The sequence below is a fragment of the Homo sapiens genome, chromosome 12, assembly GCF_000001405.40.
Source record: "Homo sapiens chromosome 12, GRCh38.p14 Primary Assembly".
Taxonomy (NCBI): domain Eukaryota; kingdom Metazoa; phylum Chordata; class Mammalia; order Primates; family Hominidae; genus Homo; species Homo sapiens.
This window is the reverse complement of record NC_000012.12, coordinates 8,681,068-8,696,831: the sequence shown is the minus strand read 5'-3', so window position 1 is coordinate 8,696,831 and position 15,764 is coordinate 8,681,068. Positions and strand designations below refer to the sequence as shown.

General features: G+C 42.7%; 1 protein-coding gene across 10 annotated transcripts in view; it reads right to left on the bottom strand.

The window, feature by feature from the left end:
• RIMKLB (ribosomal modification protein rimK like family member B) overlaps nt 1-15,764 on the bottom strand; it is a 114,454-nt gene that overhangs the window by 86,260 nt on the left and 12,430 nt on the right. For 8 of the 10 annotated variants that reach the window (NR_123740.2, NR_147945.2, XM_017019684.2 and 5 more), the window contains exon 1: nt 15,014-15,232. The exons of the other annotated variants lie outside the window; for them this stretch is intronic. The gene's annotated coding sequence lies outside the window, so the exon portion shown is untranslated. Of the gene's footprint in view, nt 1-15,013; nt 15,233-15,764 lie in introns of those variants that run through there. 10 annotated transcript variants of the gene reach the window in all.

The following is a 15,764-nucleotide window of genomic DNA, read 5'->3' as shown; positions in this document are numbered from 1 at the left end:
GTGACCTCAGCCAACAACTTTTCACTGCTCCTCTCCCAGTCAATTGACAATATAATTTCATTTTCTGCTTTTAAAAAATTTTTTGACTAATTTCCTTCAGCGTCTCGAGAGTCCTTTAAAAGATGTAGCATAACCCAGGGTGGTAACTTCTGGATCCAGACTGCCCGGATTGGATTTATGGTTCCACTCCCTATGTGAACCTCTGCAGTAACTTAACCTCTCTGTATCTTTATCTGCTGAGCTGTAAAAGTGAGGATAAAAATAGTCACCTACTTCATGGAGTTGTCATAAGGAGTAAATGAGTTAATAAGTATATAATATTTAACAGCTGACACAGATCAAGTGCTGTTCAAAGTGTTTAGTGCTATTATAATGTTAGGTCAGTGAGAGTAACCTAGGATAGGCGTCTAGTTGGTTTACAAAATTTAGAGGAACAAACGCCCTATAAGATAGATACACTATCTTGAGAACAAAGGGGATAAGGTCTACAGAACTAAATTGTTGCTATTTACTTCCACTCTGATATTCAGCCCCCTGGGACATAAAGTATATTCAACTCCAAGACCAAGAGAAGCATTTTGTGATCAAGGGAAGCTTGAGCACAGAGATACTAACACTGAAAATCTGACAAAATAAACACAGTGAAATTGACACAGGGAAAAAAATGTACAGAGGATCAATAATAATATTTAATTAACCTATTCCTTCAGTCCCACTCTTAAGGAATCCAATTCGTGGTAACTGCATCCCCAGAAAAAGTGGGTTGTACTGGTGAAACTGAGGATAGGAAGTATGACTATTAACTCACTTGCCACTTGCCCTTAAAAGTTGTTATTCAGGGCAGGGCGCGGTGGCTCACGCCTGTAATCCCAGCACTTTGGGAGGCTGAGGCAGGCGAATCACCTGAGGTCGGGAGTTTTGGACCAGCCTGACCAGCATAGAGAAACCTTGTCTCTACTAAAAATACAAAATTAGCCAGGCGTGATAGCGCACGCCTGTAATCCCAGCTACTCAGGAGGCTGAGGCAGGAGAATCGCTTGAACCTGGGAGGTGGAGGTTTCAGGCCGAGATGGTGCCATTGCACTCCAGCCTGGGCAACAAGAGCAAAACTCTGTCTCAAAAAAAAAAAAAAAAAAAGTTGCTATTCAATTTATTGCTTCTATGTGCCATACACATTCTAAGATATTCTCATGTATGTAACAACGTTGCTTTTGACTTAAGCTAATAGGGAGTAAAACAAAGCTCAGGAGGGTATTTAAAAAAAGCCAATGATAAGGCTTAAACACATTACCATTATCATGATATTGTTAAGATAATGTTTATGTGAGTAATGATCAAATTCATACATCATACTTTTTATATGAAGTAATAAGGGGGCAAAAATTATTTACACCATTTCCATATTGGAAACCCAAGGTTCAGAAAGGCTGTACATACATTCAGTCATAATCTTTGAGAATTCATGGTTGATATGTTTAGGCGGCTGTGGACTCACATCTCCTTTGGGTAGCAACACCTGCTCAAAAATATTTTAAGTAGTTTTTCTTGACATAATCATGCACCACACATTTTTAACCAGTGAATTAATATTTTTCAGGAAGTTCGGAGGTGTCGGGGCCGGGCGGGGCGGGGCGGGGGGGCGGGGCGGTGCGGCAATTGAATCCCCTGGGAAGACATACTATAAGTAACCTAGCATGTCTGGAGTCAGATCAATCTGATTTGAAATCCTAGCTGTATTTACTAGCAGCATGAGATTGTTGCTTAACTTCCATAAACCTCAGTTTTCTCATCAGCAAAATGAAGATCATATTAGCACCACTTTATTAAGATAGAAGGATGAATGAGGTAACTCAAATGTAATGCATAACATAGTAAGTCTCAGTGAATGTTAGCTATTATTATTCAAGACTAACTGATACCAAAACAGTCAAATAGTAATCAAAGAGAAATTATACAATGTTTAGATATGTGTGATAATCATACAAATAGTTATATTTATTGCATATCCCTATGAGTGTAAGACCAACTCTATAGGTAAGTAATGTCTTTGAGATGAAGTTAGGGTTCATCCTTTGCCTGCACCAAAACACTTCCAGATTTTTGCTCTTATTCCTAGACACATGAGAATCAACAGGAGGGACCGGGCAGGGTGGCTCATGCCTGTAATCCCAGCACTTTGGGAGGCCAAGGCAGGTGGATCACCTGAGGTCAGGAGTTCGAGACCAGCCTGGCCCACATGGTGAAACTCTGCCTCTACTAAAAATACAAAAATTAGCCGGGCGTGGTGGCAGTTGCCTGTAATCCCAGCTACTGGGGAGGCTGAAGCAGGAGAATTTTTGAACCTGGGGGTGGAGGTTGCAGCAAGCCAACATTGGGCCAGTGCACTCCATCCTGAGCAACAGATGGGTACTCCATCTCAAAAAAAAAAAAAAAAAGAAAAAAAATTCAACAGGATGTTGAGTGTGATGGCTCACACCTGTAATCCCAGCAGTTTGGGAGGCTGAGACAACAGGATCGCTTGAATACACGAGTCCAAGACCAGCCTGGGCAACACAGGGAGAGCCTGTCTCTATTTTTATTGTTTTTTGTTTTGTTTTTTGAGACGGAGTCTGGCTCTGTTGCCCTGGCTGGAGTGCAGTGGTGAGATCTTGGCTCACTGCAACCTCCACCTCCCAGGTTCAAGTGATTCTCCTGCCTCAGCCTCCTGATTAGCTGGAATTACAGGCGCCCAGCTAATTTTTGTATTTTTAGTAGAAACTTGGGGTTTCACCATGTTGGCCAGGCTGGCCTCGAACTCCTGACCTCAAGTGATCCGCCCACCTGAGCCTCCCAAAGTGCTGGGATTACAGGCATGAGCCATCTCACCTGGCCCCTGTCTCTATTTTTAAAAAATAAATAGAATCAACAGGAGAGCTCCCAAAAACTGATTAAATCAGCATTGGCGTCCAGGCACCAATATTTTTTCAGAGCCCTCCAGGGGATTTTAATACACAGCCAGGGTAAAGACCCAAGTTTACACAACAGAGATGTTAGAATTAACTATCCATTTGGTTGTGCTGAAATACACATGTTATCTAGCCATTTCAGCTAGTCAGATTAGCTGATTAGAATATGACAACTAAATTTGCAGTACAGGCCCGGTGTGGTGTCTCCCATGTGTAATCCCAGCATTTTGGGAGGCTGAGGTGGGCGGATCACCTAAGGTCGGGAGTTCAAGACCAGCCTGGTCCAACATGGTGAAACCCCATCTCTATTAAAAATATAAAAATTAGCTGGGCGTGGTGGTGGGCACCTGTAATCCCACCTACTCAGGAGGCTGAGGCAGGAGAATCACTTGAACCTGGGAGGCGGGTGTTGCAGTGAGCTGAGATAGTGCCACTGCACTCCGGTCTAGGTGACAGAATGAGACTCCCTCTCAAAAAAAAAAAAAGAAAGAAAGAAAGAAAAAGAAAACAAATTGCAGTACAAAGCATTTTAAAGTTTTTGATGGGATAATATGAAGGTACTGGGGGAAGGCCTATAAAATTGAGGGTTTAATGAAAACAAAATCTTCCCTAACAGAGTTACCCAGGTCCAGTCAACCCCACGTCTCTGATTCTACTTGAGTACACAGTATATCTACATCAGCCAGAAAAACATAATTTACAAATGAAATAACAATAAATTGTTTGTCTGTTGCAGGTCAAGCGAAAACCTTTAAGTGCCCTATACACATCATCTGTTGCAAATCATTTCCCCCTGGGTTTGAAGACAAGGAAACTAGCGGGGATTTGATCAAAACTAGAGGCCTCGAAGTAGTAAAGAGAATTGTAAACAAGAATTTAATCTTTGAGATAGTTATCATCAGTACCTAAAATAGTGTTCTTTGTGGATTATCTAACGTTATAACTGCAAAATTCACGTGGCTGGAGAAAAGGTGGTTGGTGTCTAATGTTAGAACCTTGACTAGCAAATAAGGAACGGTAGCGGCAGCTGCAGTAAATCTAGCTCTCCCCACTGTTTCCTCTCCTGGAGCCAGCCGGCTAGAACCAGCCTGACAACAGTCTTTGCAGTAGAATAGCTAAACACTGATCTAGCCTTTCTCCACCCACATCCCTCCTCCTTTTCCCTGCTCCATCTCAGCACATTAAACTGAGCTTTCTCTCTATGCTAAGAAAATGCAGATGCCAGACACAAAGGGAGGAAAGACCATACATTGGCTGAATCACAGAAGAGAAAGAATGGGTGGAAAGAAAACACAGTCTTGGCAAGAAACATGATACAGGTTTTCCCCCTACTTCTTTAATTGTATCTGGTTAAGATTTTTTTTTCCTCTACCACATAGAAATTACCTGGAATGCTTGTTTAAAATGCAGATTCCTTGACCTCTGCCTCTGACCTGAATGAGCCTGTGTACCTGCATTTCTTGAGCAACTCAAAGCATCTAAAATCAGCAATTTATCTGCATTTGGAATAAGCATACTAAATGATCTTTAGACACATGAAAGTTTGAGCACAGTGTCTTAGAGACCAAAATAACCATTTGTAAAATGCTCTTTATTTAAAGCCCTCAACATTTATAAACTCATTGTAGCCTCAAGCAACATTCTAAGGTTGAGCAAATATTGTTAGTCCTCTCTGACTGAAGAGAAAATGAGGCAATGAAATTAAATCGTTGGCAGCAATTTCCTAGTCCTGATTTCCCTGTCTTTGGGAGGATCTTAGAAGTATAACAACCTGGGAAGAATGAAAGAAGAAAAAAATGAAATAAGAAAATATGGAAAGGCACATTAGATGTGTTCTCATTTAAAGAATAGAGGAAGCATCAAGTATTAAAGGAAAAAAAAAACCCTCTCTTGGTGCAGGGAAACATGACTGAATTTGTAGATAATGCATCCATAGAATCCAACCAGAGAAATGATAATATGCAAACCACATAAGGGCTGTGTGCATCTGTCACACATCTGTGTCACCAGCAACACCTTGAATGATTAGTGAACATTTACAGATTAAATGAATGAATGAAGTCTGGAAGCATCCTAATGGCCTGGCACCACCATAATTATCCTGATCTGCCTTGCTGTTTTTTGTACAATGAAAGACTTAGACTGGGGAGCCCTGTTCAGTAGTCTAAGTTCATGTGGTTATCCTATGTTCAAAGAAACATCAGTTTATTTCTATTCAATCTAAATTCTTAACCTGTCCTATTTCCTAATTCTTTTCTTTTTTGTTTGTTTGTTTGTCTTTTTGAGACAGTCTCACTCTGTCACCCAGGCGGGAGTGCAGTGGCTCGATCTCTACTCCAACCTTTGCCTCCTGGGTTCAAACAATTCTGGTGCCTCATCCTCCGGAGTAGCTGGGATTACAGGCATGCACCACTGCACCTGGCAAATTTTTGTATTTTTAGTAGAGATGGGGGTCTCACCATGTTGCCCAGGCTGGTCTTGAACTCCTGACCTCAGTTGATCTGCCTGCCTTGGCCTCCCAAAGTGCTGGGATTACAGTCGTGAGCCACTGCACCCAACCCCTACAAAAACCAAAAACTTTAAAAAAAAAAAATTTGGCCAAGTGTGGTGGCACATGCCTATAGTCCCAGCTGCTTGGAAGATTGAGGCAGGAGGATTGCTTGAGCCCAGGAGTTCTAGGCTGCAGTGAACCATGATCATGCTACTGCACTCATACAGGTTCCCATCTTTCGTATTGTTTCGCAGAACTTTTCTGGGTAACTGGGACAGACAACTTAGATACTTGCTTAATAAATAAATGGTAAAGGTAGACTTAGGCATGAGGATCACACCACAGAAATACTTGAAACACATAGTTACATCACTGTCCCCAGTCTCATAATAAACCTATCGTATCTTAGAACATGGAGTGTTCTAACCCTACTGGGTTTGGATTATCTTCTTTTTTTGTTTTGTTTTGTTTTTTGAGACGGACTCTCGCTCTGTCGCCAGGCTGGAGTGGAATGGCACAATCTTGGCTCACTGCAACCTCTGCCTCCCGGGTTCAAGTGATTCTCCTGCCTCAGCCTCCCAACTAGCTAGGATTACAGGCATGCACCACCACACCCAGCTAATTTTTGTATTTTTAGGAGAGAGGGGGTTTCACCATGTTGGCTGGGATGGTCTCGATATCCTGACCTCATGATCCACCTGCATTGGCCTTCCAAAGTGTTGGGATTACAGGCGTGAGCCACTGCACCTGGCCTGGAGTATCTTCTTTTTACAGATGAGCAAACGGAGACACAGTGAGGTTAAGTAACTTGTCCGAAGTCACTCAGCTAGCAAAATAGCAGAGCCAAGATTTGAATCCGAGTAGCAAAGTACATGCTCTTAACTGCTTTGTCAAACACTGTTTGTAATCCCTCCGAAGACTATAAAAAGGATTGTCTGCAGTTTCCCCCCACTTCTTAGTAAAGTTTTACTTAGATATCAATGCCTGCTGTTTGGGTTCATGCTTCAGTAGCATTTACTAACGTGAAAAATAATGGTACATACATTATAATTTGCCACAAAGGACCCAAGAATCCATTAACTGAGCATCACCTCTAAAGATTCAACAAAAAATTGTTACTAACACATACATGATTCTTCAAATATGTATGGATTCTATTTTGATAAAGTATAACTCCATTTAAGTCATAAATGGATTTTCTACAGTCATAGAATCTTTTTATCAATTATGCTTTTTCTCGAACTTCAGGCATGAAAAAATGACTGTATTGTAGGAAACTGTAAAATGTTTTGAGGTTTAAAAAGGGACCCACTGACATGCTGGGACAAAGAGGGTTTAGCAGAAAATCCTGAGTTTAGTGGAGAAAACATGGCTTATTGCCTAATAGAGTGGGCAAAAGTAGGTCAGAGTCCCTGACAGTCACAGCTGGTAAGGAGTGATGTCACTAGAGAAATGGGGATGGGGGAGGTGGAATTTAAGGTGGGGAAGTAGAGAGACCCTTTGAGGGCGCAGAAGAGGGGGGATTTACAGAGGCAGGTTTTAAGTCAGCCTTTTGTAGGCTGATTGCAGAAACAGCTGAAGCCCCATTTTCTCCTACCTATACCCAGCCTGCGTTCTCCCAGGCCTCATTCCCCACCTCCGCATCACCACCATACCCTCTCTGCTGGAGACAAAGACACCGGAGAAAGGACTGGGGAGAAAGACAAACCTGAAAAGGAGTGATTTCAATAAAAGAGAGAAAGGTGAGGAAAAAGTGAAGGAGACTTTAATCAAATCCAGGGAAACGTGACAGAGAGGAAGAAATAACAAAGAGAGGCAGATGGAAAAAAGAGTAGGAAGTACAGGAGGAAAATATGGCTGAATGAAACAAGACAGATTAATGAATAGAGCAAAGTAGTGTTAGAAATATAATTTCTATTAATTATTTTGGTTTAAAATATTAATTGAGCAAAATGCTGAGAAAGAGAGATTGTAATGGTTGCAGTTTGAAGTCAAAATATATAGTTACAATGTTTTGGCAACAAAGCAAAACTAGGCTGCTCCCAACGAGGACGTCTCTTTTCAGCCCACATTCAGTCTAAAAGTTATGCTGTCCTTGTGTTTACCAAATCTAGAAGAAAATCTCATGACTAAGTTAAATATCTTATTCCAGGTATAAGTAGCCCCTGTTAAATTTTGCTAATAAAGTAATAACCATAGATCTTTAGAATGTGGAGATAAGGTGTATTTTATTATCCCTGTTTTGAAATATGTCATGCATGGCCGGGTGCAGCGGCTCACGCCTGTAATCCCAGCACTTTTGGAGGCTGAGGCAGGCAGATCAGCTGAGGTCAGGAGTTCGAGACTAGCCTGGCCAACATGGCGAAACCCTGTCTCTACTAAAAATAGAAAAAATTAGTCGGGTGTGGTGTCGGGCACCTGTAATCCCAGCTACTTGGGAGGCTGAGACAGGAGAATCTCTTGAACCCAGGAGGCCAAGGCTGCAGTGAGCCGAGATCGTGCCACTGCACTTCAGCCTGGGCAACAGAGCGAGACTCCACCTCAGAAAAAAAAAAAAGAAAGAAAGAAATACGTCATGCACTTCACACATTATTTTAATCACACACACAAAATTCTCTAATCCTGTTCAATTAATCCCTGGATCAAAACTTTCATTATGCTCAACAGCCCTCCTTTAACAACAACAAGTTTTTTTAATTATATAAAAACAGTAATGCTCATTTCTGAATAATTGTTAAGGTTTAAAAATCCTCTGGTATAACCAAAATATACCTGTAATATACATTATTTCAAGATAAACCATCCAGAAAGAAATGGGGGAGACTAAGAACTATGTCACTGGAGTACCAGGAGAACTAAAAGTATGCAGTGCCTATATCTGAAAGAATGTGTTGTTTTTCTTTCTGCTCTTCTTCAAAATTTTCCTTTCTAAGAAAATAATTTCTATTATTTATCTTCTGTTTTCTCATTCCCCTTTCCCTAAATCTCGCTTTTCTTGTCTCTTATTGTAACAGCTTCTGTTTCCCTCTCATGTTGCCCCCATATTTTCTTCTAAATTCTGACTTTGTTGTGTCTTGGCTTAATCTGCCAGACTTCCACTAAACTTTCAGAGCTGGAATCAGAACAGTGCATTTGGCAAAAAGCCACACATACCACACAACCACAAACAAGCACTCTGGCTGCAAGATCTTTTCAACAATCCACTCCCGTTTCTTGCAGTCAGCAATTCATACAGGTTCATACATGATCTGAAATAAGCAACACATACATTCTCATACATTTCACATGCACATGGCCTCTGCAGTCAGCTCACAAAGACACAATGTCTGCAGAAAGGTCTTGCAGCATACACAGGCAGTGCATTCTCCACCCCTTTCATAAGCTCTTCCTGAATGGCTGTTTCTTCTAGACACCTCCTCCCCTCATGCTGCCTGGCAATGACTCCCCTCCTTTTCCTGCAGTTCTCCAAGTCCTAACTGCAGTGCCATCCATCACTCTCCCAACAGATCCCCAGGCAAAGCAATTGTTTCTTGAAGCTCTCCCAGGTCACCTGCTTTTTTTTTTTTTTTTTTTTTCTTCCTGACTTGGAACTTGCTCTAGCAAAAGGACTGTCAGAACAGATTCTCCTTCTGGAACACAATAATGTAGGCTGGTCCCCAGTACCCTGACTCCCTAATTTGTTCCTACAGATTTTAATTTTGACATGGATGGCTTAGGGAGAAAGCAGAAAGGAAGGAAAAAGAGAAGAAAACAGAAAGGAAGAAAGGAAGGAGGGGAGCCCTGGTAGAAATTTCATTTTGTCCAGGGCAACTTGGGGACTTACAAAGGAAAGACGAGAGAGCAGAGGCAGAGAGAGGAAATGGAGCAAGAAGTGTGAAAATAAAAGGAGAAACAAAGAAAAGAGGAAAAAGTATGAAAAATAAGTTGTAACATTTCTCTGGAGCTTTTTGTTTCAGAAGTGACCACAGAAGGAGGATGGAGATACTAAGAAAAAGTTAACAGGAGAAACAGTAATGAAGAGGAAAATCCTTTGATGAGGTTGTATGTTTTGAAATGTCCTAAAAAGACAAAATCATCATCACAAATATCTGCCACAAGGGAGATTTAAACTCCTAATTTGAAAGTACTCATGATGCTTAGAGAGGAAGCACATTTGAATTTTACTTAGATTATTTGCCCAAATATTACAGTATTTGAGACACATACTAAAAAAATTATATTGTTTATCTGAAATTCACAGTAAACGGATCATCCTGTGTTTATCTGGCAATCATGCCCTCGGGGGATTCAGGTACATACTCAAATTTGAGAAATACTGGTATGAAGTAAGAAAGCCTGCATTTAATGAGATCATCTGAATCAGAATCACTTGAAGGTGGTCGCCAAGTACGTATTCTTACCCCACCACAGACACACCAGATTGAAATCCTTAGAGAAAGAGCTGAAGATTCTTCATTTTGTTATACATTGATGATTCTGATGCACTAAAGTTCATAATCGCTGATTTCTCCATAATTCCTGTGTGGCGCCCTCTCCAAATCTGCATAGGATTGAACACTGCAGCTATATATATGCAGCTGTCTATATAGCATTAACTTTTTAAAAGTCAGTGGAGGCCGGGTGTGGTGGCTCACACCTGTAATCCCAGCAATTTGGGAGGCCTAGGCGGGCGGATTACGAGGTCAGGAGATCGACACCGTCCTGGATAACACGGTGAAACCCCGACTCTACTAAAAATACAAAAAAAAATTAGCCGGGCGTGGTGGCGGGCGCCTGTAGTCCCAGCTACTTGCGAGGCTGAGGCAGGAGAATGGCATGAATCCGGGAGGCGGAGCTTGCAGTGAGCCGAGATCGCGCCACTGCACTCCAGCCTGGGCAACAGAGCGAGACTCCGTCTCAAAAACGAAAGAAAACCCTGAATAAAAAAAAAAAAAAGAAAAGAAAAAAGAAAATAGCTGGTCATGGTGTCACGCGTCTGTGGTGGGGAGGCGGAAGTGGGAGAATTGCTTGAGCCTGGAAGGCGAAGGTTGCAGAGATCGGGCTACTGCACTCCACCCTGGGTGACAGAGTGAGACTCCGTCTCCAAAAAGGAAAGGAAAGGAAATGAGAGGAGAGGAGAGGAGGGGAGGGGAGGGAAGGGGGAGAGGGCTCGGTGGCTCACACCTGTAATGTAATCCCAGCACTATGGGAGGGCAAGGTGGGTGGATCAGTGGATCAGCTGAGGTCAGGAGTTCGAGAGCAGCCTAGCCAACATGGTGAAACCCTGTCTCTACTAAAAACACAAAAATTAGTCCGGGCGCGGTGGCTCATGCCTGTAATCCCAGCACTTTGGAAGACCGAGGTGGGCGGATCACAAGGTCAAGAGCTCGAGACCATCCAGGCCAATATGGTGAAACCCCGTCTCTACTGAAAATACAAAAATTAGCCGGGCGTGGTGGTGGGCGCTTGTAGTCCCAGCTACTCGGGAGGCCGAGGCAGGAGAATCGCTGGAACCTGGGAGGTGGAGGTTGCAGTGAGCCGAGATTGCCCCACAGCACTCCAGCCTGGGAGACAGAGCGAGACTCTGTCTCAAAAAAGAATAAAAAATAGCTGGGCGTAGTGGCACACACCTGTAGTTCCAGCTACTTGGGAAGCTGAGGCAAGAGAATCACTTGAACCGGAAGGCGGAGGTTGCAGTGAGCCGAGATTTCGCCACAGCACTCCAGCCTGGGCTCCAGATTCCATCTCAAAAAAAAAAAGTAAGAAATGAAAGAGCAGGCATCACTGCAAATCCTATGGATATTAAAGTATCTGTCATAAATAAAGATGTAAAAATCCTCAAAATATTAGCAAACGGAATGCAACAATTTAATAAAAAGAATTATATACCACAACCAAGGCAGACTCAATATTTGAAAAATCAATTAATGCAATCCATCGCATCAACAGACTAAAGAAATATCACATGATCATACCAATAGATGCTGAACGAGCATGTGACAAAATCCAACACCCATTCATGATCAAACAAAACAAAACAACAAAGAAACCTCTCAGCATTTTGAAATGAAGTATGGGATAAAAATAAAAACTCTCCAAAGACTGAAAATAAAGAGGAACTTCCTCAACTGCTTAAAGAACATCTACAAAGAAACTACAGCTAACATCATGTTGGTGAGAAACTGGAAGCTTTCCCACTAAGACAAAGGACCAAGGCAAGCATGGCTTCTTTTACTACTTTCAATACTGAAAGTTCTAGCTAGTGCAACAAGACATGAAAAGGAAATAAAATGTGTACAGATTGAGAAGGAAGAAATAAAACTCTGTTCGCAGATGACATGATTGCCTATATAAAAAATCTAAGAGAATTTACAAAAAAGCTCCTGAAACTAATAAGCAATTCTAGCACAATTGCAGGATAAAAGGTTTACATACAAAAATTAATTGCTTTCCTATATATCAGTGATGAGCAAGTGTAATTTGAAATAAACACAGGCTGGGTGCGGTTGCTCACGCCTGTAATCCCACCACTTTGGAAGGCCGAGGTGAGCAGACTGCCTGAGCTCAGGAGTTCAAGACTAGCCTAGACAACGTGGTGAAACCCCGTCTCTACAAAACATACAAAAAAACTAGCTGGGCGTGGTGGCATGCACGTGTAGTCCCAGCTACTTAGGAGACCGAGGTGAGAGAATCACTTGAACCTGGGAGGTTGCAGTGAGCCGAGACTGTGCCACTGCCCTCCAGCCTGGGCAACAGGGTGAGACTCTGTCTCAAAAAATAAAAGTGCTGGAACAACTGGACATTTACATGAAAAAAAGAAAAAGAATCTACACAGTAGACACAGACCTTACACACTTCACAAAAATTTACTCAAAATGGATCACAGACCTATATGCAAAATGCAAAAGATACCACTCCTAAAAGATAACATAGGAGTAAATTTAGGCCGGGTGTGATGGCTCATGCCTGTAATCCCAACACTTTGGGAGGCGGGGGCGGGTGGATCACTGGAGCTCAGGAATTCCAGACCACCCTGGCCAACATAGTGAAAGCCCAGCTCTACTAAAAATACAAAAATTAGTTGGGTGTGGTGGCGTGTGCCTGTAGTCACAGTTACTCGGGAGGCTGAGGAAGGAGAATCGCTTGAACCGGGAGGCAGAGGTTGCAGTGAGCAGAGATGGTGCCACTGCACTCCAGCCTGGGTGGCAGAGCGAGACTCCATCTAAAAAAAAAAAAGAGAAAATTTAGATGACCTTCAGTATGGCAATAACTTTTTAGATACGACACCAAAGGCATAATCCTTTGAAAGAACTTAGAGATAATTGAGAACTCAAATTCATAATTTGACTTCATCAAAATTACAAACATTGGTGGGGCGCAGTGGCTCAAGCCTATAATCCCAGCACTTTGGGAAGCCGAGGGGGGTGGTTCACTTGAGGTCAGGAGTTTGAGACCAGCCTGGCCAACATGGTGAAACTCCACCTCTACTAAAAATACAAAAATTAGCTGGGTGTGGTGGCAGGCGCCTTTAAGTTCAGCTACTTGGGAAGCTGAGGCAGGAGAATTGCTTGAACCCGGGAGGTGGAGGTAGCAGTGAGCCGAGATCGTGCCACCACACTCTAGCCTGGGCGGCAGGAGCGAGACTCTGTCTCAAACAAACAAACAAAAAACCAAAATTACAAGCATCTACTTTGCTAAAGAGAATGTCAAGAGAATGAGAAGACAAGCCAGACCGGGAACAAATATTTGCAAAAGACACTTCTGGAAAAGGCATATTATTTAAAATAATACAAGAACAATTAAAAACAACAATTTAACCTAAATTTTTAAAATGGGCAAAATATCTGAACAGAAACCACATCAAAGATATACAGATGGCAAATGGGCATATGGAAAGGTGCTGCACATTATATGTTATTGGGGGCATAAAAATTAAAACATAAGATACCACTATGCCCCTATTAGATTGGCCAAAATTCAGAACACGGACACCACCAAATGCTGGGGAGGCTGTGAAGCAACAGAAACTCCATTCATTGCTGGTAGAACATAAAATGGGACAGCCACTTTGGAAGACAGATTGGTGGTTTCTTACAAAACTAAACATACTCTTACCATATGATCCAGCAATCATACTCCTTGGTATTCATCCATAGGAGAGGAAACTTAGTGCCCACACAAAAACCTGCACATGAATGTTTATAGCAGCTTTATTCATAATTGCCAAAACTTGTGGGCAATCAAGACGTCCTTCAGTAGATGAAGGAATAAATAAACTGTGGTATATTCAGACAATGGGATATTAATCAGCAATAAAAAGAAATGACCTATCAGGCCTCCAAAAGACATGGAGGAACCTTAAGAGCATATTACTAAGTGGAAGAAGTCAATCTGAAAAGTCCACATACTGTATGATTCTAACTATATGACATTCAGGAAAAACCCAAAACTATGGAGATGTTAAAAAGATCAGTAGTTGCAGGCCGGGCGCGGTAGCTCACGCCTATAATCCCAGCACTTTGGGAGGCTGAGGCCGGCGGATCACCTGAGGTCAGAGTAAGACACCAGCCTGACCAACATGGAGAAACCTCGTTTCTTTTTTTTTTTTTTTTTAATTTATTTATTTTTATTTTTATTTTTTTTTGAGGCGGAATCTCGCTCCCTCCCCCCCGGCGGGGCTGCAGTGGCGCGATCTCGGCTCACTGCCAGCTCCGCCTCCCGGGTTCACGCCGTTCTCCTGCCTCAGCCTCCCGAGTAGCTGGGACTACAGGCGCCCGCCACCACGCCCGGCTAATTTTTGGTGTTCTTAGTAGAGTCAGGGTTTCACCGTGTTAGCCAGGATGGTCTCGATCTCCTGACCTCGTTATCCGCCCGCCTCGGCCTCCCAAAGTGCTGGGATTACAGGCGTGAGCCACCGCACCCGGCCATTTCCCAGTAAATTCTTGACTCCTTGACTGACTCATCATTTTAAAATATCAGTACTCAACGCAGTGCCTGGCATTGAGAAGGAAACCGACTATAAATGAAGTACAGGTCTTAGTTATTAGGAGCCTTTCATCCTGTCAGGCATAGTTCAATATTCTTGCTACATGAACTATATTAGCAACCAACGGGAAGTGTAAACCCCTTGGAAAGAAAAGCAGTTCGACGACAAGACTCTGGAGGTTATTTGTTGCCCTCTCGTGTCCCGATTTAGGAACTACATGTTCTTCCCTCCACTTTGAAGAATTCTGATTCCTTTAATTTTATGTGTTTTTTAATGCATGTATTGTAAGAAATACACTTGTTTCTTTACACCCTCACACAGAACACTTTTGACACCAGATGTGCGAGTTTTTTTCCCCACACTGACCTATTCTCCAACACCAGCTGGGTGTCCTACAATCCAACTCAATACTGACACTATCTACCTGCAGTCAATGTCAGATCCCACAAGTTTAGAGCTGAGTCCCACAAGACTGCTCCCACCCAGATGCCAGTTGAAAGTCCCGGTACTTCCGACTGACCAGCTATAAATTTGGGGGTTCCCATGACCTTCTCCTTGAGTTCCATCATTTGCTAGAATGCCTCACAGAATTCAGGAAAACATATTACTTACCAGTTGATTATGGAAGATGAACAGCCAGGTAAAGAGGTCTGCAAGAGTCCTGAGCACAGACAGGGGCTTCTGTCCCTGAGTTAGAGTACACCACCCTCCTAGCAGGTGGAAGCAGCCCACGAATCCATAAACCCGGAAGCTCATCAAGACCCACTGTTCATGAGTTTTTATAGAGCTTTATTTCCAGCCCCCTCTCCAGCCTGCTTCCCGAAGGTCAGTGGGTGGGGCTGATAGTTCCAGTCCTCTTATCCCTTGGTCTTTACGTGAGCAGTTTCATCCGGAATAGGAGCCACACCTTACGTCATGCATTAACGTAGCACAAGTTCAGGTGTGACTGATGGTTACGCAACATCAGGGGCTTGTTGTGAATAACAAAAGACACTCTTATCACTCAGGAAATTCCAAGGATTTTAAGATCTCTGTGACAGGAACCAGGCCCAAAGACCAAATGTATTTCTTATTATACCACACTTATTCAACATATTTTTTTTTTGTACAATTGTTTGTTTACATTGGCAGCAGCCCTCAAAGCACTGGTATATGAAGACCAGAACCGCCAGACACAGTGGCTCATGTCTGTAATCCTAGTACTTTGGGAGGCGGAGGAGGGTGGATCGCTTGAGCTCAGGAATTTGAGACCAGCCTAAGAATGGTGTCCCTATGCTATGGTGAAACCCCATCTCTACAAAAATTAGCTGGGCGTGGTGGTATGGACCTATAGTCCCAGCTACTTGGGAGGCTGAGGTGGGAG